This window comes from Homo sapiens, chromosome 6 (genome assembly GCF_000001405.40).
Source record: "Homo sapiens chromosome 6, GRCh38.p14 Primary Assembly".
In the NCBI taxonomy this organism is placed as follows: Eukaryota; Metazoa; Chordata; class Mammalia; order Primates; family Hominidae; genus Homo; species Homo sapiens.
In genome coordinates this window covers 155,194,985-155,215,160 of record NC_000006.12, presented here as the reverse complement: position 1 = coordinate 155,215,160, position 20,176 = coordinate 155,194,985, and the positions used below count along the sequence as shown (strand labels likewise).

Sequence of the window (20,176 nt, the reverse complement as noted above, 5' to 3'; positions counted from 1 at the left end):
AACTTTGGGAAAAAATTCAATTTCCTTCTTAAGAGCTCTGATGTGTAACTCAAGCAGATCATAAGAGACGAGAAGTCGTTATCCCTCACGGTGTTAAGTGAGAGTCCCCCAAGCTACCATCCTGTGCCAGGGCCCCCACAGGCACACTTAACTTTTAAATACATGGCCTTGCTCTATCAGTGTTTCAGGAGGATTTGATTTTCTAAAAAATTTTAAGTCAGGCCAGGCACAGTGACTCACACCTGTAATTCCAGTACTTCAGGAGGCCGGGGCAGTAGGATCTCTTGAGCCCAGGAGTTTGAGACCAGCCTCAGCAACATAGTGAGACCCCATATCTATTGTATTATTAAAATAAGATTTAAAAATAATTTAAGACAAGGCTATCAAAACACATCTATTTGATGCTCTAGGATCCACTGCTTCATTAAAAAGCTAATGAACATTAGATATGATATTGGGTTCCCAAAATTAAATAACCCACTAGAGATAGAACAAAGTAGAAGGACTAAAAATGCTGATGAATTTCAGTTTTGTAAAATAACTTGCATCCTGGGACATAACCAGGCCAGCGAAGGCAGCTGAGCATTTGCTTTGCATGAGGAATGAGGAGGAGAGGGAGGAGAAATTTGGAAGAAGGTGCATGGAAAACGGGAGAAGAGAGCAGGTAGTGAGGAAGTGAAAGGGAGAAGAGAGGGGAGGCTGAGAGCCCATAGCTGCTTCATCAAACCAGCTGCTTCGGAACCAGAAGCATCCGTTCTGAAGCTGGCAGGCTCTAACCTGGTCCCTCACACACAGGGGATGTCACCAACCCCCAAAAGGTATGCCACATGGTTCCTCCAAAGGATGTGCCATGTGCCTGGCTCCTGGTGGTCTTGATGGCAGCGGTGGCCCATCTGGAACAGTCACTGCGATGATGCCGGCTGCACCGGGGGAGGCACGGCCAGCGCTGTGCGTTCCATGGAGCCAGCAGGAGCTGAGAATGTGGAAGCCCCACCCAATCCTGAAGTGGCAGGGCGGGAGCCTCGTGCTCCTCGGGCACAGCTGTGACTGCCCAGCCGTGGCTTCTGACCCAGACATCCCTGTGTTCTTGGGGGCCAGGAGCAGGAAGGAGCCCCGCCCTCCCGGGTACTGCTGCAGCCACGTAGCCGCGACTGTGGACCCAGACATCTCTGCACTCTCAGGGGCCTAGGAAGGACCCATTGCCCCCACAGGCTCGAAAGTAGCCTGCTCCCACTGCCTGGTTTCTCCCTACTCCTGGTGCCCGCTCTGCTCTTGGAGCAAAGTTGAGTCCAAGCCCAGGCACTGCTGCAACCCAGCCATGTGTGGACACGTTCAGGGCAGCGCTGACATGCCAGCCCCCTGCTGTACTTTGGGCACCAATGAGCATGGGAGGCAGGCCAAGGAGGGGACTGAGGGCAGCTCGGCCCTGGCCTGCAGGCACCCTTTGGCACAAACAGCCTGGGCACCAGGAAGAGTGGCAGGACGCAGACAGGCTCCTGGGTGGAAAGGAGTGGGTCCCCAGAAAAGCCCCACTTTCAAGCCGGGGAAGGCCTGAAGTCTGGGGGCTGGGCTGCCAGTCCCACAGACCAGAGTGGGAACTTATGGAGCTTTTTCTGGGTCTGCTCATGGCCACTATGGACCAATCAGTGCACATTTCCACCCCTCTGAGCCCTGGACTCAGCCAGACTCAAAGAGACAATGAGACAACCAGCTGAGGAGAGGAGCTACTCCAGGGTCTCCTCTCTGCTTAAAGCTAAGCAGACATTAGTACTACCAGCTGTGGAGAGGAGCTACCCACTCCAGGGTCTGCTCTCTGCTGAGAGGTGAACACTCTATGGGACAACCAGCCTGCAGAGAGAAGCTACCCACTGTGGGTTTCCTCTGAGCTGTTCTACAGCTCAATAAAGCTCCTCTTCACCTTGCTCACCCTCCCCTTGCCCGCATACCTCCTTCTTCCTGGTCATGGGACAAGAATTCGGGACCTGCCTAACGGCAGGGCTGAAAGAGCTACAACACAAACAGGGCCAAAACACGCCCCTTGCTCGCCACATTACAGGTGACAAGGAGAGAAAAGAGGAGGAGAGAAGAGCTGCAGCCCTTCAGGGAGCCCAGACCTAGGAGTTCCCAGAACCAGGGCTATGCCACCCTCTTTGGGGCTCAGCGGTTCCTGGCATCTCCAAGCTTCCAGGTACTGATGCAGGCCATGGAAACTGCTTGTAATATGTGTGATCCAGCCGTAGCTTCACAGGGAACCGGCGCCCGTGCTAGAGCCTGCAGCTGCTGCCTGCCCCACCACAGCCAGCATTCCTGCCTGTGTGTGGTGGCCAGACCCCACACGTGCTCACTGACACACCCTTCACCACTGCGCTCACTGACACACCCCTCACCACTCTGCTCACTCTTGGCAGGCATGGGATGCAGGCCAGTAGTGCAAGTTGAGCACAGCCTGCCAGGTCGAGTGGGCCGAGTGGGCCTAGTGGGCCCGAGCAAAACTTGGGCAAAAGCACCCTTGGCCACAGAGGTTTCCGGCTGGTGAAGTGATACCCCAAGAATCTTGTGATAGTGTTAGTCTAAACCCAACCGAGCCATCGTTCCACTTTATAACTTTCATTTAAATGCCTATCATTGCTTCTATTTCTTCCATTCTTATTTTGTATTTAAGACAAAAACAAATACAGAAGACTTATAATTTCAAAATCGATTAAAACTGGACTGGATATTAACACAGATTATGTCAATCAGACCATTTCTGAAAGGGTAGCTGACAACAAACAGTTAAAAATGCAGGAAAGGAATGGAATGTAACAAATGCTGCCAAGGATGTGGATGAAGTAGAAGCCTCCTGCATTGCCGCTGGGAATGTCAAATAGTGCAGCATTGTGGGAGACCATGGGCTGTTCCTCAAAAAGCTAAACAGAGAATCACCACATGACCTGGCAATTCCACTCCTTGGCCTGAAAACAAGGATTCACGCAGATAACTCTTACACCAACATTCACTCCAGCATTATCCACAACAGCAGCAATAATCCAAGTGTCTATCAACAGATGAATGAATAAACAAAATGTGGTGTATCCGTATAATGGAATATTACTCAGCCATAAAAAAGAATGAAAGTCTGACACATGCCACAACCTGGATTAACCCAGAAGACATATGTTAAGTGAAATAAGCCAGAAACAAAAGGACAAATATTGTGATTCCACCAATATATGGGGCACCTAGAAATTGGCAAATGAGACAGAAAGTGGAATAGAAGTTATGAGGGAGTTGAAAGCAGGGGAAATAGAGAGTTATTGTTTAAGGGGTACAGAGTTTCTGTCTGGAATGATGAAAAAGTTCTAGATGGTGGTGGTGGTTGCAAACCAATGTGAATATACTTAATGCCACAGAGAGGCATACACTTGAAAATAGTAAAAAAGGCATATTTTATGTTATATACGTTTTATCACACAAAATGACAACATTCCAAAAATAATTTATCTTCAGCCAAAAAAAAAAAAGTAAGAAAGAAAGAGATTAGTAATTAACACCTTTTGACAAGGTTTTCCTTGTCAAAATTGCTAAGCAAAGCCAGCACAATATATGAACAGCAGAGTGTGCACTGCTCTTTGATGGCATACCAGAAGTCATGGAGGAGTTCTGGCTAGAGCAAATGGTTCCGATTAGTAGTACTTCACTTCAAAAAAATACATAAATAAGGAAGCTGTATCCTTAACATATATATGTATGTTTGTATCAACTGCTGGACCTAGAGATAGGTAACTCCATCTCCTTTCCCCACCTTAGGTAAAGGTGGGAACTAACACTCGCCTGCCTGGTTCTTGGTTTGCGATTTGGGCCAGTATCTTACCCTGAATGTCTGCTCCATTTTCTCCCTGTGGGAAACCTGATCCAGAGTGCCATCTGTCTGACTCCTTTTCAGACCTGTTGTGATATCAGGGACGTTGCTGAAATCTGCATAAAAAATGACAAAAACATATATGAGTTTGGCCATTTGCAGAGAATAATAACACCCGGTTTAAAGGCTCACATGGAGAAAGGAAAGAAGAAAACAACCTAGGAGGCAGTACAGAGCAGTCCTGAATGACACTGAGGTTACAATTACGCATACAGATGGGCTTCTGAAACAGATCTAGGGTCTTGCTAATTGAAAAGGCAACATCTGCCTGTTTTGGTCGAAAGAGACCAATCAAAATAATGACCTAAATACCTTGTCACTCTTCTCGTTGTTGTGTGAACTATGCTCCCCTAAGCTCTGGTCTTAACTAATTTATTTGGACCTACAATCAAACAGCAACAACTTTGTTGGTATTTCCCTGTTTTTGGCTAAGTGAAGGCAAAATTACCAGGGAATCTTGGAAACCAATGATGGAATATTATACTTATTCCAATCTACAACTTGCTCATTTACAAGCATGTTTCTTGTGCTGGCATCAACCACAATTTCATCCTAACTTGAAAGTCCCAAGAGGATCAGTAAACCCTTATTAACTTCCAGAGTAAAGGCTAAGAAATAATATGGGCCAGGTGTGGTGGCTCATGCCCGTAATCTCAGGCCTGTGGGAGGCCAAGGCGAGAGAATCACTTAAGACCAGGAGTTCGAGACCACCCTGGGCAACATAGTGAGACTACATAGTGTCTCTACGAGAAATTGAAAAAAAAAAACACACACACAATCAGGCATGGTGGTATGCGGCTATAATCCCAGCTACTTGGACGGCTGAGGCAGGAGGATGGCTTGAGCCCAGGAGTTTGAGGCGGCAGTGAGCAGTAATCGTGCCACTGCAATCCAGCCTGGATGACAGAATGAGACCCTATCAAGAAAGGAAAGAAAAAGAAAGAGGAGGGGAAGGAAGGGGAGGGGGTAATAATTAAAATATAAAAATAATAAAAATGAAAATTTAAAATTTAAGTAAATTAAAAATTAAAACATTAAAAAATTTAAATAATATGAAATAAGTAGAACACATAGTTTTCCAGCCTACAACTGGAAGCACACATCCCATCCTCAGCACTCTTCTCCAATAGAGACAGAAAGACCAGCCTCTATCAAAACATAACACAAGTTTTCATTGTAATTCTTGTATTTGATAGAATGTCCCCTCAACTAGGTGAAACCAGATGGTTTCTGATCCCAGTTAGGTACAACAAGAAATCAATCTGAGCTGATCTAGGCCCAAGAGGCTTGGATAGACTTGCAAACAAAGAAACTGCCCAGCATGATGGGGGCAGGGAAGATGGTTTCTGGAGAACCTTTAGAAGCTAGGGGAACCCCTGGAGGTTGGGACAGCTGGGAGACAAGAATGCCAGTAGCTGGTTCATGCTGATATTACCAACCACTACACAGGCACTCACTTCTAAGATAGGGGAAGGCCTCCGGAAAACATATAATGATCTACAGAATTCTGCAGCTCCAATTTTTTTCTTCCATTACCTCTTCCGACACCCTAATCTCATCCAGGTAAGGACCAGACAGATAATCTCGGTCATACCTCACTGTTGTTGGTTGCAGAGTTAACTTAGCCTAGGGAAGGCAGTGCTGACCCGAAAGGCATGAAGGGTCCCTGGGGAAATTTTGAGTAGCCATGACAAGCAAGCAGACTTGGGCCTGCCTCCTCTAGTCCCCTAATGCCACAACACAGAGGCAGTCCCCTCACCAACAAGCTAACTGCACGGGAAGTAAGATGAGACCCTCAACCACAAGTGACCCACTGCTGTCCTTTAAGACTGCCTCCTTTCTCTGATGTGTATACCTTGGCTTAAGGGAGACCAATCTAGGTAAGTCACAAAAGAACAGCAGCCCTCAATCCTACTGTATCCAGCCTAAGTGTATCTCCCCGTTCATGCGCTCAACACATACTTCTTGAGTAGCAGCTGTTTTCCAGGCACGGTGCTAGGAGCTGGGGATGCAAAAAGGAGTGAAATGCTCTCGCGGGCTGCTTCTAATCTGGGGAGAGGCAGTTGGTGAGGGAGGGGGAGGCAGAGAGATGAGTGCAACCAAGGGTCACAGATGATATGAGGAAAGCCCACAGGCTGCTGAGTGGGGACACTCAGGAAGCAAGTTAATTCTCCCTGGGCCCTTAAAACACTTCAAAGGAGAGCAGACACTTGAGCAAAGCCTTTATGTCGAAGGAATATTTATTTGACTTTCAAGCTGAAGATGACAAGGCGGGGTGGGCAGCGGGGAGAGGGGATTCCAGGACTGGAAGTGTCCTGAGTAAAGGCCAATGCTAGGAGGAGCCGGGCACCATCAGGGAACTTGCCGAGTGTGGCTGCACAGAGTGGGGCAGAGATGGAAGAGTGTCCTCGATGGACGGATGGATGGAGGACAAGAAAGTCACAGTGACATCACAGGTACAAGGTGTAAGGACCAGAAGATCACAGAAGAGAGCAACAGAAAAAAGGGATGGTTGAGCATTTGAGGAGGTAGATTCTACGGGTCCCCTCTTTGTCACTTATTAAATATAAGAAGATACAGAAAAGAGAGGCATCGAGGGAGACGCCTGGTTTCTATGTCCTAGGTGACTGGGTAGATGGGGAATGCGGCAAGGGGAGAAGTGGGGATAACAAGCTTAGCTTCTGCAATGCTGAGTCTGAGACACATGTGGGCCATGCAGTGGGAGATTTTCAGTGGTCGGGGAGTCCAGAGTCCAAAGCCCAGAAAGGCCTTCACAGAGACATGGATTTGGAAGTCATCAGACTATCACTCCATAGCAGTGAAGCCAAGGGGGTGGATGACATCAAGAGGACCGAGGAGAGAACCATGGAAACATCAGTGCATAAGGGTACAGGAGGGGGTGATTCTCAAGAGAGGTACCTTTCTTTTCATAGAGAATTTAAAAAGAAGTATAAGGCCGTCAAAAAAGAGTCATGTCACAGAAGCCATACAATGTAAAAGTGCATTACCTAGGTTACAGAATCAAATTTGCATTAGTGCTGCCTTTACCTTGTAAATAAGAAGACTTGGTATTTCCAAAGAGTTACATCAAGTACAGGAAATAGGACATATGATCCACATGCACATTCACTGATGATGGGGATTTCACAGCCCCTGCTGTACATCAGGCATGTTCTAAGTACTAGGGATACAAAGATGAACAAGACCTTGAGTCCCACCAAGAACTCAGCTGTGGCAAGGGCATAAGGAGCTTTGGAGCCCAAGATGCCAGATGGATGCTAGTGAAAATATAGCATGGCTGATGTCAAAAGCGGGTGCCAAGTGAATCCTGAGTCATCTGAGTCAATCTCTTCAAAGATTTTGGAACTTAAACACTGAAAACTCCCCGAACCACTGTTCGCTTCTTATAAAAGAGACAAGGAGGTACTCATTCACTTAGGGAAGAAGAGATTCGTTTCAGGTAAGCATGAGAAAGGGGGCAACGTGTACCTGGTAAGAGAATACTGACCCCTTCCTGTCAGAACCCTGCTCACTCCAGGATAAAGGCTTAGCTTTGAATCAGTGAGGCTCCCTTAGGCCCCCTAGAGCCCCTTAACTTCAAGGAAACTTTGGGTGCCACCGGATTTTCTCTGAGGCACAGGCTTGGATAGGATGGCCCAAAGGAACCAGCTCCCACTGAGGCTGGCCCTGGGGATCTGAGAAGAGAAGGCAGCTGTGGACAGTTCCTGAGATCCGCCAAGACAGGAAATCTCAGCGGTGTTCTACTGCCCAAGTTTCCCCCAGGTGGAATGCATCTGTGCATACAGAGTCCCTGCAGCCACCAGCAATGTGCCAACACTGTCCTGGACATGACGGAGCACAGGAGAATCCGAGCTGGACAGTGTCCACAGCTGCCATCCCCAGCTCTGGGAGCCTCCAATTTCACCAGGACCTGTATCCCCGTAAAAGGAGGGTGCCCTTAGTGCTCTTTATAGAAGAGACATGAGATAAAAGTACATTCTGGAAGAATAGAAGACTGGCTTTAAAAAGAGTGGAGGCTGGTAAAATCCGAATGCTTATTTACAAAGCTGTTTGAAACAGGCATCCTGTCCTGGGTGCCAAATGCCTATACATAGCCCCCTTATATTCTGCCCACATCCTGAGCACCAGCTGCTAAAGGGAGTAAGTATATCCTGCCCCTCCCAGGCGAAAATCTGGCTTCCCACCTGGAAGAGCCTCATCAGGACATATACAGTGCAACATGTTTTAGGGGTTCTTTGTCCTTATCAGAGAGTAATAAGCACTTGCTTCCTGCCCACCCTGAACTCAGCATTGCACAGTACAGATGTTCAGACTCACTCCAGAAAAAGCCTCTGGCCAATATGACTGCAAATCAATTATAAATTCAAGTCAAGAGTTATCTATTTGTATCTGGTTAATATACCCTTTTGTCTTTCTCATCACATTTCTCGTGGAAATTAACAGTTTGGGGCAGAGGTCTAGCAATTTGAAAAAATCTAACATTTAGCACAGCCAACAAGAGCTTCTACTCAGCAGTTGAGCCAGCAGAGCTGCAATGTCCCAAGTTACAGTCTGGTCCCCTCAATTTGGATGTGTCATTTAATTTATTTACCCTTAATTCCCATGGGTGCCAGACACTGTGCATCCACCAAGTACAAGGTGCCACGGCCAGAGCAATCACGAGACCAGGCTCGGCCATCTCTCTCCTTTAATCAACATGCTGTGGGCTGGGCACAGTGGTTCACACCTGTAATCCCAGCACTTTAGGAGGCTGAGGGGGGCAGATCACGAGGTCAGGAGATCGAGACCATCCTGGCTAACATGGTGAAACCCCATCTCTACTAAAAATACAAAAAATTAGCCGGGCCTGGTGGTGGGTGCCTGTACCCCAGGCTGAGGCAGGAGAATCACTTGAACCCGGGAGGTGGAGGTTGCAGTGAGCTGAGATCACACCACTGCACTCCAGCCTGGGCGACAGAGCGAGATTCCATCTCAAAACAACAAAAAAACCATGCTGTGGACAAGGATGACAGTCCAGGCAGGCTACCACGGAAAATGCCTGCCTCCCTACACTTCCGCACAGCCTATAGCTCCTTACAGACAACTGGGGAACACATCTGGCTTTAGGTTTGAGACACCTGGTCATTCAGCTTCCTCCTGAACTGTGCGTCAGTACCTGGCCCATTAGCACCACTGTCAGCCAAGTCACTGGCAACCCCAGATCCTTTACAACGAAAGGGCAAAACATTTGTTAAAGGGACATCCTGGGTACCAACTTAAAAACAGAAATATCAGGAAATATTGAAGTTAAGGTTGTCTCACCCACACAGCTCGTAATCTGAATTCAAAATGTACAGTTACATCATTTCCAAATCCAACCTAGCACAGTTAATATGCAAACGTGTGGGTTTTGCCATTTCTTTTTCCTGTTGCCCAGAAAGCACCAATAGATCTAGGTGCTCACTGTGATAGGCTCAAGGGGGAATTCTTGGAAACGGGCAGCAATGGAAAGCTTGGGAGAAGGCCTGGCGTGCGTGGTGGTGTCCCTGCCAGCATCCCACCTGCAGCTTAATCCTAAGGAAGCCTGACTCTCCTCAGGCAGCTACGTATGGTTCATCTGGCTGATGCCATCCCATAATCCCAGTCTTGCTGGCAGCCTCCTCCCTACTCAACCAGGCAGCAAGAGACTAGGCAAGAAAGTTCTTTGTAGTCCCTGGACACCCACCAGGTGGCCGCCAGCAGACCCTGGAGACACCAGGCAGCTCCTGATTGTAAGGACAGGTAGGGAAGAGTTCCCCTGCCTTTCCAGCAGCCAGGATGGGGCCTCCTGAGGACAGACAACTGGTTCCTAGAAAAAGTGATCTAAGAACCACTCCACCCCAAAGTCTGAGAGTGCCTCCCCAGTTCTCCGGAACAGCAATTAAAGAGAAATTAAATTTAAAATTTCAACATGATATTAATCCATAGCCAAAAACAAGAAATGCAAAGTGACAGGAGAACATTTGTTTTCTCTTCTTAGGTACAAAGGTACAAGATGACTTTTTTTTTTTTTTTTTTTTTTTTTTTTTTTTTTTTTTAGAAATTAATAATGGTAGTTGCTATAGTTTGAATGTATCCCCCAGAATTCACATGTTGGAAACTTAATTCTCAATGCAATGGTGTTGGGAGGTAGACTTACTGGGAGGTGTTTAGGTCATGAGGGCTCTACCCATGACTCATGAATATTAATGCTATGATAAAAAGGGCTCTCAGGAGTGGCTCTGTTCTCTTCCACTGTTTACCCTTCCACCTTCAGCCACAATGAGGACGCAGCGTTCAAGGTGCCATCCTGGAATCAGAATCACCAAACCTAATGGCACCTTGACACTGGACTTCCCAGCCTCTAGGACTCTGAGCCTGTAAATTTGTTTTAAAATTACCCAGTGTGTGCTATTCTTTACAGGAGCACGAATGAACTAAGACAGCAGTCACCGCATCGGAAAAAGCCGTGCTTCAATATGCGGACTGAGGATTCATTTGAAATAGACTAAAAGTATCGGGCATGAGAATGAAAATTGTTTTTAAAATATGTTTTTCATGCTTCAAAGCATATATTATAGTACATTGATTTTTAATACTCTCATATCCAAAGGGTCCTTTTTGATAATATATACTTTTACTATCCTGAAATAAAAATCATTCTTAATATAATCTACCTTCATAGTTTCTCCAAAAGCAATATACTACCCTAAAAATAAGACAAAAAGAAAAATAAACGGAAAGTAATTTATAATTAAAAACTATGGTTTGAATACTTTGTTTGAATTATACTCCATATGTAAATGGCACCAGAACCTCTCCAGAAGCCGTGAGGAAGCTGTCAGCCACTGGCTCTACAGGCCTTGTCCCAAGCTTCACCAGAGACCAATGCCAGTGTGTCTTGGTGGTATGACCATCAGGGACATGATTTTCCAAAATGACAAAACTCTTGGCAAAGTTCTGAGCAAAACAAAGGATGTACTTCCTTTATTTATTGGGTTGCCATCTTCCCAGAAAATTCCAAGTACCTATAGCTGTGGGGAAAAAATAATTTGCATTTCTTTGTAAAATCGAGGTAATTCCTAGCTCAGATAATTATATGCATGTTTTTTAACCTCCATTAAGGTCCAGTCGAACAATGTGCAATGTATGGGATTAACGTGATCACTGCCGGATGTCCAGCAACCATGTCCCAACTACCAAACGTCACCATCCCTGGAATCATTATGATGACCAAAAACAGAAACACAAACTTCCAAAATGTCACCTGGTGGTCAGCGCCACCACCTCTGAGAATTGCCTCTGCCCCTCCCCGTGGCCAGGACCTCAACTTTACCTCTAAGAGAATCAAGTGGCATCAGAGGATGCAAAATGCATCCAACCCATAGCATTTTGCACCCTCTGAGTATTAGTTTCCCTCACTTCCCAAAGAAAGATAAAATATACTCACTAAAGCAATTAAAAATATAGCAGCCAAATAACAATGAAGTGTATTTCAGTGGGACTCTCATCTCAGGCTCAAAAAATGTTTTTAGTTGATTAAATCATTAATCCTTAGAAACCCCTTCTGATGTGAAAACTACAGAAGAATAATTTTCTAAGACTGAAAAAAATCTAAAAAATAATGTCAAAGTAGTTACAAGTGAATAATAAATGGTTTAATTAAGTTTTCAACTACATAATCCACTTTGGCATTAGAGTTACACGTCTCTGACATTTAATACTTACATTCTACTATCTACTGACATCCAGAAAAAATAACGTACTTTATTTGAATTATGCTATTAATCTATTTGATTTACTCAGTTTCCCTATTCAGTTTCTCAGAATTTATGCTATGCAATTCCATAAATGAAAAACTCGTAGAGAATCAAAGAATTTTAGATCAGAAAAGAAACTCAGAAATCACCCTATTCAATTCCTTCATTTTATGTATCTTTTGTTTTTTAAAAAAAGTACAAATGTAATTTTAAGAAAAGATTAAAATTTGGGTAAATCAAAGCTGCCAGCCTAGGCATAATAGCATTATGTAAATAGAAAATTAAGACTTTTTTTCAATTCTTCAAGCTTCACCCACTATTACAAAACTCTGCATTAATGCTCACAGCCAGTTCTCACAGTACAAACAGCACATTGAACATTTGCAAAGAAAATCTTTGCAAATCTTTCTCTTTTTTTTTTTTTTTTTTTTTTGAGACAGAGTTTTGCTCTGTCACCCAGGCTGGAGTGCAGTGGCGTGAACTCAGCTCACTGCGACCTCCGCCTCCCAGGTGTAATTCTCGTGCCTCAGCCTCCTGAGTAGCTGGAACTATGGGTGCATGCCACCACATCCGGCTAATTTTTTTTTTTTTTTTTTTTGTATTTTTAGTAGAGATGGGGTTTTGCCATGTTGGCCAGGATGGTCTCAAACTCCTAACCTCGAGTGATCCACCCACCTCAGCCTCCCAAAGTGCTGGGATTACAGGCGTGAGCTATGGCACCCAGCCAGAATCTCTCCTTTTAAATTTAACTTTGTGGCCAGTGAGGTGATTCATGCCTATAATCCGAGAACTTTGGGAGGCCAAGGCAGGAGGATTGCTTGCGGTCAGGAGTTCACAAGACCAGCCTGGGCAACATGGAAAGACTCCATCTCTATTAAAAAAAAAAAAAAAAAAAGTTATCCAGGTATGGTGGTGCACACCTGTAGTCCCAGCCACTCAGGAGGCTGAGGCAGGAGGATCACTTGAGCCCAGGAGGTAGAGGCTGCAGTGGCTTGTGATTGTGCCATTGCACTCCAGCCTAGGCGACAGAGTGAGACCTTGCTTTTAAAACAATTTCTTCTAAATAAATTTAAATTTGTAAACTTTGTATAGCAATGCATATTTTTAAGTAACACAGATTGTCCAAAATTTTACTCATACTTTTACTTTAAAATGCAGTGGTTTGTGCCACCTTTCACTAATGACATTAGCTGTACTGTGCCATCCAGGCAAATATTTCTGATCATCAGTCAGTGAAAGAGAATGAAAACAAAGCATTTAAATGAAATAATAGAAATAACTGAGAGGGAAAAAAAAAGTAACTCTTGAGTTGACCACATTCAAAGGTGAGTCAAGTCCCAAACTGCACCATTAACAAAGAGATCACCATTTATTATTACCTACTCTTAATATAGATAAAAATCAGTCTTCTCTTCTGACCATATCTGGGACTTTGCATTTTTTTTTATTGTTATGACTCATGTCAGGGAAATTCAAAGCAGCAGTCTGAATGTTATTGTTAAGCTTGCAAAGAAATAAATTCTATTATAGCACAAATACTGTGCTAGAAAGATTCATAAATCTTCCAAGTCCATTTAACCTGAGGTCACATTCCAATTGGTGATGTTTTTGACAATGCAAGCTAACACCGGCAATAAACAGAGAGCAGTAAAGTAAATGCTGGTAGTAAATGTTTCTTAATAGCAGGCTGCCAGGATCTGTTTCAATTGTCTTGTGATAAATGTCCTTAGAGTGGGAAAAAATACATAAAGGAACATGGCAGATGTTCTCACAGTAGAAAGGTGCTGCCAGCCACCTCCACACTGACTGCAATACTCCTTCTTAGAACAACGAAAAAGAGCGTTTAGATGTACCCATATCTTCCTTCGCCAGGCAGGCTATGGCAGTGACTGAGGCAGCGTGCTTAACCCAAAGAAAGAAGGTGCAGAGCCTCCCATGGGGTTTTATGAGCCCCAGTGAAAAATACACAGTCAATGACGAGAGAGATCTTCAGCCAAGGTCTTGGCACTGCAAGGAAACGGACACCCACTAGTACTGGGAGGACACCCCAATGCCACACTTACTTACCTTCAGGCATGTAACAGACAATACCGTACTTCAAACACTCCAAGAATTTTAATAAAGTTGAATTTAAGTTCAAAGCCCTTAGGAACTACTTAGCTGGAGTTCTATTTAAAGACTTTGAGAAGAAACCTAGACAAAAGTACACATGAGATTCTATTAGAGAAAGTTTCTACGGAAAAAAGAAAATTTGAGGACACTTTTCAGTAAGTGCTACGGTTCTCTTGGATTAAAAGAAGGCGAAATTGAATATTATTCAGCCATAAAAAGGAATGAAGAATTGATTCATACTACAACATGGATGAACCTTGAAAACATTATGCTAAGTGAAAGGAGCCAGACATGACAGGTTACACATTGTATTTTCATTTTTATATGAAATGCCCAGAATAGGCAAATCCATAGAAACAGAAAGTAGATTCATAGTTGCCAGGAGCGGGGGTTGGAGCGTGGAGGATAAGGAGTGACTTCTTTTTTTATTTTTATTTATTTATTGTTTATTTATTTTATTTTATTTTTGAGACAGAGTCTCGCTCTGTCACCAGGCTGGTGTGCAGTGGCACGATCTTGGCTCAATGCAACCTCTGCCTCCTGGGTTCAAGTGATTCTCCTGCCTCAGCCTCCCAAGTAGCTGAGACAACAGGTGTGCGCCACCATGCCCAGCTAATTTTTATATTTTTAGTAGAGACAGGGTTTCACCACATTGGCCAGGATGGTCTCGATCTCTTGACCTTGTGATCCGCCCACCTCAGCCTCCCAAAGTGCTGGGATTACAGGCGTGAGGGACTGACCCTGGCCTTGAAGAGTGACTTCTGATGGGTGTCAGGTTTCTTTTTTGAGGGAATAAAAATATTGTGGAATTAGACGGTAGTGATGGTTGCACAATTTTGTGAATATACTAAAAACCACTGAATGGTACACTGTAAAAGGTAAATTGTATAGTATGTTAATTCTATTCAATTTTTTAAAAAGAAGATAAGGAAGTCAGGGTAGATATTACAGGAGAGAAATTAGAATTAACAGCAAAACTCCACCATAAGAGGGTTCCAAAGAAACAAATCACAGGAAATATATGGCCACATGATTGCAAGGTTAATGAAAATCTGTATGAACCATCAAAAAAGGAACAAGAATAGATAGCGAAGCTATGACTGTAAATAACTGACCTTTCCCTGAACTGAGAAAGCCCCAGATGATCACAAGACCTTTCTGATCATCAGTCCCAACCCTCAGATAAGAATCCAGATGAGAAGACAAGGACTATCAGCAATCCGATCACATCTAAATTTGCTTTACTGCAAGGCAAATTATAACTGGGTTTTACTCTATGTATATTAATAGATAAATCTTTAAAAGGAAAAAAAAGCAGTTAAAATCCAGACATTTTTCCCTACATGGAAGGAAAAACAGGAAGACACAGTTCTATCTGTGTGTGCCACTGACTATGACCTTGTCCAAGCTACCAGAGGCTTGATGTGTCTCTATACCTTGATTTACCCAGCTGTGAAAGTAAAATGATAATAACACATCTCTGCTCCATCAGGGTGATGTGAGGGATAATTCATGTTTTTAAGGTTCTTTGTGAACTTTATATTGAGACAGCCTGCTATTATTAGGAAGCCTTAACAAACACGTTCTCTACCGCAGTCAAGACCTGACTCTATTTAAGGAGGGAATGGGACTGGCTGCAAAACCAAAATGGAATGTTTGATCCATTACTTTGCTTTTTTCGCTTCATAAAATTTTGGAGGAAATGTACACTCCTGTAGTTCTTATATTGTCACTTCAATCACGTTAAATACAAGAATTTCAGAGAGAGAAGGAAAAAATTTTAAACTATTTTGCCTCATCCCTTGTTTTAAGAGTCAAGAAAATAGTTATAGTAACCTGCCCATGGTCACAGACGAAAAAGCCAGGAACTAGAATCCATTTGAGACCTTATTTGAGACCCATAGTCTTTTACAAATGTTACTATCCCCAAATTAAAACACAACTCACTGTCACTATTGGCCTATACTGGTGATATAGAAGTTACTGTTCTCAGGCTGGGCACGGTGGCTCACACCTGTAATCCCAGCACTTTGGGAGGCCGAGGTAGGCAGATCACCTGAGGTCAGGAGTTCGAGACCAGCCTGGCCAACATGGTGAAACCCTGTCTCTATTTAAAAAATACAAAAATCATCTGGGTGTGGTGGTTTGTGCCTGTAGTCCCAGCTACTCAGGAGGCTGAGGCAGGAGAATCGCTTGAACCTGGGAGGCAGAGGTTGCAGTGAACCGAGATCGCACCATTTGCCTGGGTGACAAAGCGAGACTCTGTCTTAAAAACTTTTTTTGTAATTAAAAAAAAAAAATAAAGAAGTTACTGTCCTTTTTTAGTTGTGGTTTTGGTTTAGCTGGCAAATTAACTGTCATGGGCACCAATTAGCCCATTAAAATTGCAGAGCAGCACAGACGTGAGCCAGCAGCTAGGCTCCGTGGACTCCCAGGATATGCAGTAGGACTCCAGAGCTGGGGCATGTGGTTCTCCACCACCACAGCCATGGGCCATCCCAGGGTGCCCTCCACACATGTGCCACTGATGGAGACCTCGGCTCAAGAAAGTCTCGGCACCATTCCCTTGCATCAGATTTATAAAGAAGAAATCATGGAAGCCTCAAGATGTGTTCCAAGGATTCCTTTTATCCCCCATAATTCATTCTTAAGAACGTTGCCTTAACTTTCATTAAGAGATTTTTTTTTTTTTTTTTTTTTTTTGAGATTTGCTCTTGTTTGCTCTTGTTGTCTAGGCTGGAGTGCAGTGGCACGATCTCGGCTCACCACAACCTCTGCCTCCCGGGTTCAAGTGATTCCCCTGCCTCAGCCTTCCGAGTAGCTGGGATTACAGGCATACGCCACCATGCCTGGCTAATTTTGTATTTTTAGTAAAGATGGGGTTTCTCCATGTTGGTGAGGCTGGTCTCGAACTCCTGACCTCAGGTGATCCACCCGCCTCGGCTTCCCAAAGTGCTGGGATTACAGGCGTGAGCCACCACGCCCGGCCTCATTAAGAGATTTCTAACAACCTTCCTTTCACTCAATAGCTATTTACTCAATGCCTGCTATTTTTATCAAGAATTGTGCTGGCTGCTGTGTCTGAAACATCCTTTACACTCTTCAAAGTCCCTGTTTTCAAGGGATTGTCAGTAGTAGGTTAATTAGGACAGGCACACAGTGAGCGATATTGCAAGGCAACTTTCATATCAGCCATACAGACAAAATGCCTTCAGAGTTCAAAAGAGGAAGAGCCCAAGATTCCGCCAGTGTGACATGCAAGCAGCCCCACACTTCTCACAGACTACAATTGTAAAAGAGAAGCATGAAAGGTGAGTATTCAGGTTCTGTGAACTTCTACTCCCAGAGATCCCAAAAAATGATAAAACTTCTATTTGTGCTGCACCTTTTAAGTAGACCTAGCACATGTATTAATTTTCTCCTCTTTCCCCAGTGAACACATACTGACTTGCTCAGTGATATGGTTTGGCTGTGTTCCCACCCAAAGCTCATCTTGAATTGTAGTTCCCATAATCCCCACCTGTCCTGGGAGGGACCCGGTGGGAGGTAATTTAACCTTGGGCATGGTTACTTCCATGCTGTTCTGGTGACAGCGAGTTCAAACGAGATCTGATGGTTTCACAAGGGGCTTTCCCCCTTTTGGTCGGCCCTTCTGCTTGCCGCCGCCATGTGAAGAAGGACATGTTTGCTTCCCTTTCCACCATGATTGTAAGTTTTCTGAGGCCTCCCCAGCCCTGCAGAACTGTGAGTCAATTAAACCTCTTTCTTTTATAAATTACTCAGTCTCGGGTATGTCTGTATTAGCAGCATAAGAACAGACCAATACATTCAAGGTCAAAGAACATCCATATGGAGCTAATGTCTTGCTGGCTGGACACATGCGGTGACTGGCATTTCGGGGTCATGGGTAATTAAGCTTAGAAAAGCTAGGCTTCTTATCAACATTTTCAGCCCCCATTTTTCCTCAATCATTTGTATAAAATAATAATGACAAAATTCAATAAATGTTCAAATAATGTTGCTAATACTGCTATGCGAAGATGCCTAAACTTCACAAAAGAATGGCATGGCCATTCATCAACTGAAACATGAAAGACAGAATTAGATTCACAAATGGCAATTTAGGAGAAAATAACTAGTGTTTGGAAAGAAAAATGTTAAAATGTGGAGGATCACATGTCCTTTCATTCGGCAGTTTCCAAGTGCTTCACTGGGAAGTCCAGATTTGGCACAAGCCCACTGGGAGACTTCTGGAAGGAGGGGGCATCCTGCCACTCTAGAAACTGTGGAATAGCACCTGCTCACTCCCCAGGGCAGCTGGCCAGGGCTCCTAACAGAAGATACACAATAATTTTGTTAACAATTTCATGTGCTTTTTTCCAAATAACCTTCTCCAGAGCTACCAACAAGTAACAAAATGGGATAATTTGAACTTTGTCACATTTTCCCACGACATGTTAAAGATGTTAACAGCCATATGCAAGAAAGGATAACAGATAAATGGATTTATATGAGATTGGATAATTTATAAATAATCATAGCTGAGTATGGTAGGGCAGAAATAAATTTATAAGGTACAACAGATCAGAACTAAATTGTCTGAAATGAAAGGAACTGATGTGCTACAATTTGCATTTCAAAGCCTATTGATTTATTCTCCTATAAACAAATATGTGTTTGCCTTACACTATGAGTGGACATCTTTAAAGGGGTAATGTGTCACTCAAAGTTCCTCCCTTTCTCTTTATGTTGCTAATTTTGATGAATTTAATGGAATTTTATAGATAACGTTTTCATTGTAAATTCATTTACCATTTAGAGCATCTTCTAGGTAAGATTATTAAGATTCCCAATCATTGAGTAACTCCCGCTTCCCAACACCATCCAATCTAGAGGAAAGACCAATATGCCTTTTAAAATTTCCCCCCTTTCTCTTTCTGTTGCTAATTTTGATACCTCTTATGGAATTTTATAGATGAGTTTTCATTTCAAAACGGTTTTGGAAGCAGGTGAAATATTCAACATGAACAGAAGTTAAACACAAGGAGTTCCCAAACCAATTCCTCATCGTTCCCCAAAGCTGCTCCACACCCATCTTCCTATTTTAACTGATGGAAACTCCAACTTTCTGGATGCTCACGCCAAAACCTGGGGGTCACCTCTGATCCCTCTCCTTCCAGTCTCTGGGCGAGCTCTGTTGGCTCTACTGCCACTGCCACCACCCCAAGCAGACTCCACCCCCTCACCTCTCGCCTGGGTGACGGCAAAGCCTCTGTTGCACCACTGCCTCCTTCAGTCCATTTTCAGCAACACTCAGTGATCCTTACCAATCACTCGTCAGATCATGTCACTACTTCCCTGCTCCTCCTTCTCTGCAACGGCTTCTCCCTTCCCTCCAATAAATGGACCTCACAATGGTCTTTGAGGTCAGCCTGATCTGGCCTCACACTTCCTCTGGGCCTCACCTCTCACTGCTCTGCTCTTCCCTTGCCCTTCCAGGCACACCTGCCGAAAAACAGGCCACATCGGGGCACATGTGATTGTTCCCTCAGCCTAGAAGGCTTTGCCCCCTGACGGCCACGTGGCCCCATCCCTGACCTCCCACAAGCCTGTGCTCCTAGGTGTCCATTGTTCCCTGAGCACTACCGGCCTGCCCTATGCACAACTGCAACCAGCCTGGCCCCTACTCCCCATCCCTCCCACCCTGATCAATTTTTGTTCCGTCACACTTATCATCTGTGAATACATTATATAACTTATTAATTGTGAGGTTCCCGCTTACTCTGTATGTCCACACACTAAAATACAAGTAAGCTCCACGTGGGCAAGGATGCTTTTTTACCTGCTGTGTTCACTGTTTATCTCTAGCCCTCCTAGATCAATGCCTGACACAACAGGCAGTAACTAAATACTTGATAAACCAGAGAAAAGTAAAATGAGAGAAAAATATTTTTCTCCAGAGATCACTGGTTTCTCAGCTTGGCCTCAGTGTGATCTTCACAGGCGATGGGTACCTACCATGGGGTAAAAAAATGCAAATCTCATGTCATGGACCTAATTTATGTGCCTGAATTCAGGATTAAGTATAGAAGTTCATTTTCCACCTTGAAGGCAAAAACTTCTCAAATTATTTGCACCCGGATTCAATCTCAAGCTATAAACAAAGCCACAGCTCCCTTCTTAGTTACAAGTTTTATTTTGCACACCTTAAGCCTTAGAATCTTGTTGAAAAATAAAGTTAATGTTTGTATTAATCCATTCTCACACTGCTAATAAAGACATACCTGAGACTGGGTAATAGATAAAATAAAGAGGTTTCATTGACTCACAGTTCCGCAGGGCTGCGGAGGCCTCAGGAAACTTACAATCATGGTGGAAGGGGACG

The 20,176-nt window shown here is 44.1% G+C and overlaps 1 protein-coding gene across 3 annotated transcripts in view, besides 1 other annotated feature; it reads right to left on the bottom strand.

Annotated features, from left to right (window-relative positions):
• The window catches only part of TIAM2 (TIAM Rac1 associated GEF 2), a 262,409-nt gene that overhangs the window by 42,563 nt on the left and 199,670 nt on the right, over nucleotides 1-20,176 (bottom strand). For all 3 annotated transcript variants that reach the window (NM_012454.4, NM_001384546.1, NM_001384547.1), the window contains one exon: nucleotides 3,854-3,957. In NM_012454.4, the coding sequence (NP_036586.3) occupies nucleotides 3,854-3,957 (104 nt within the window). The remainder of the gene's footprint in view (nucleotides 1-3,853; nucleotides 3,958-20,176) is intronic.
• Nucleotides 18,733-19,232: an enhancer, noted in NCBI's record as "H3K4me1 hESC enhancer chr6:155517063-155517562 (GRCh37/hg19 assembly coordinates)". NCBI's record gives its function as "activates a minimal SCP1, AML or CMV promoter by ChIP-STARR-seq in naive and primed H9 embryonic stem cells {active_cell/tissue: H9 hESC(naive and primed)}" and the evidence as "EXISTENCE:reporter gene assay evidence [ECO:0000049][PMID:30033119]".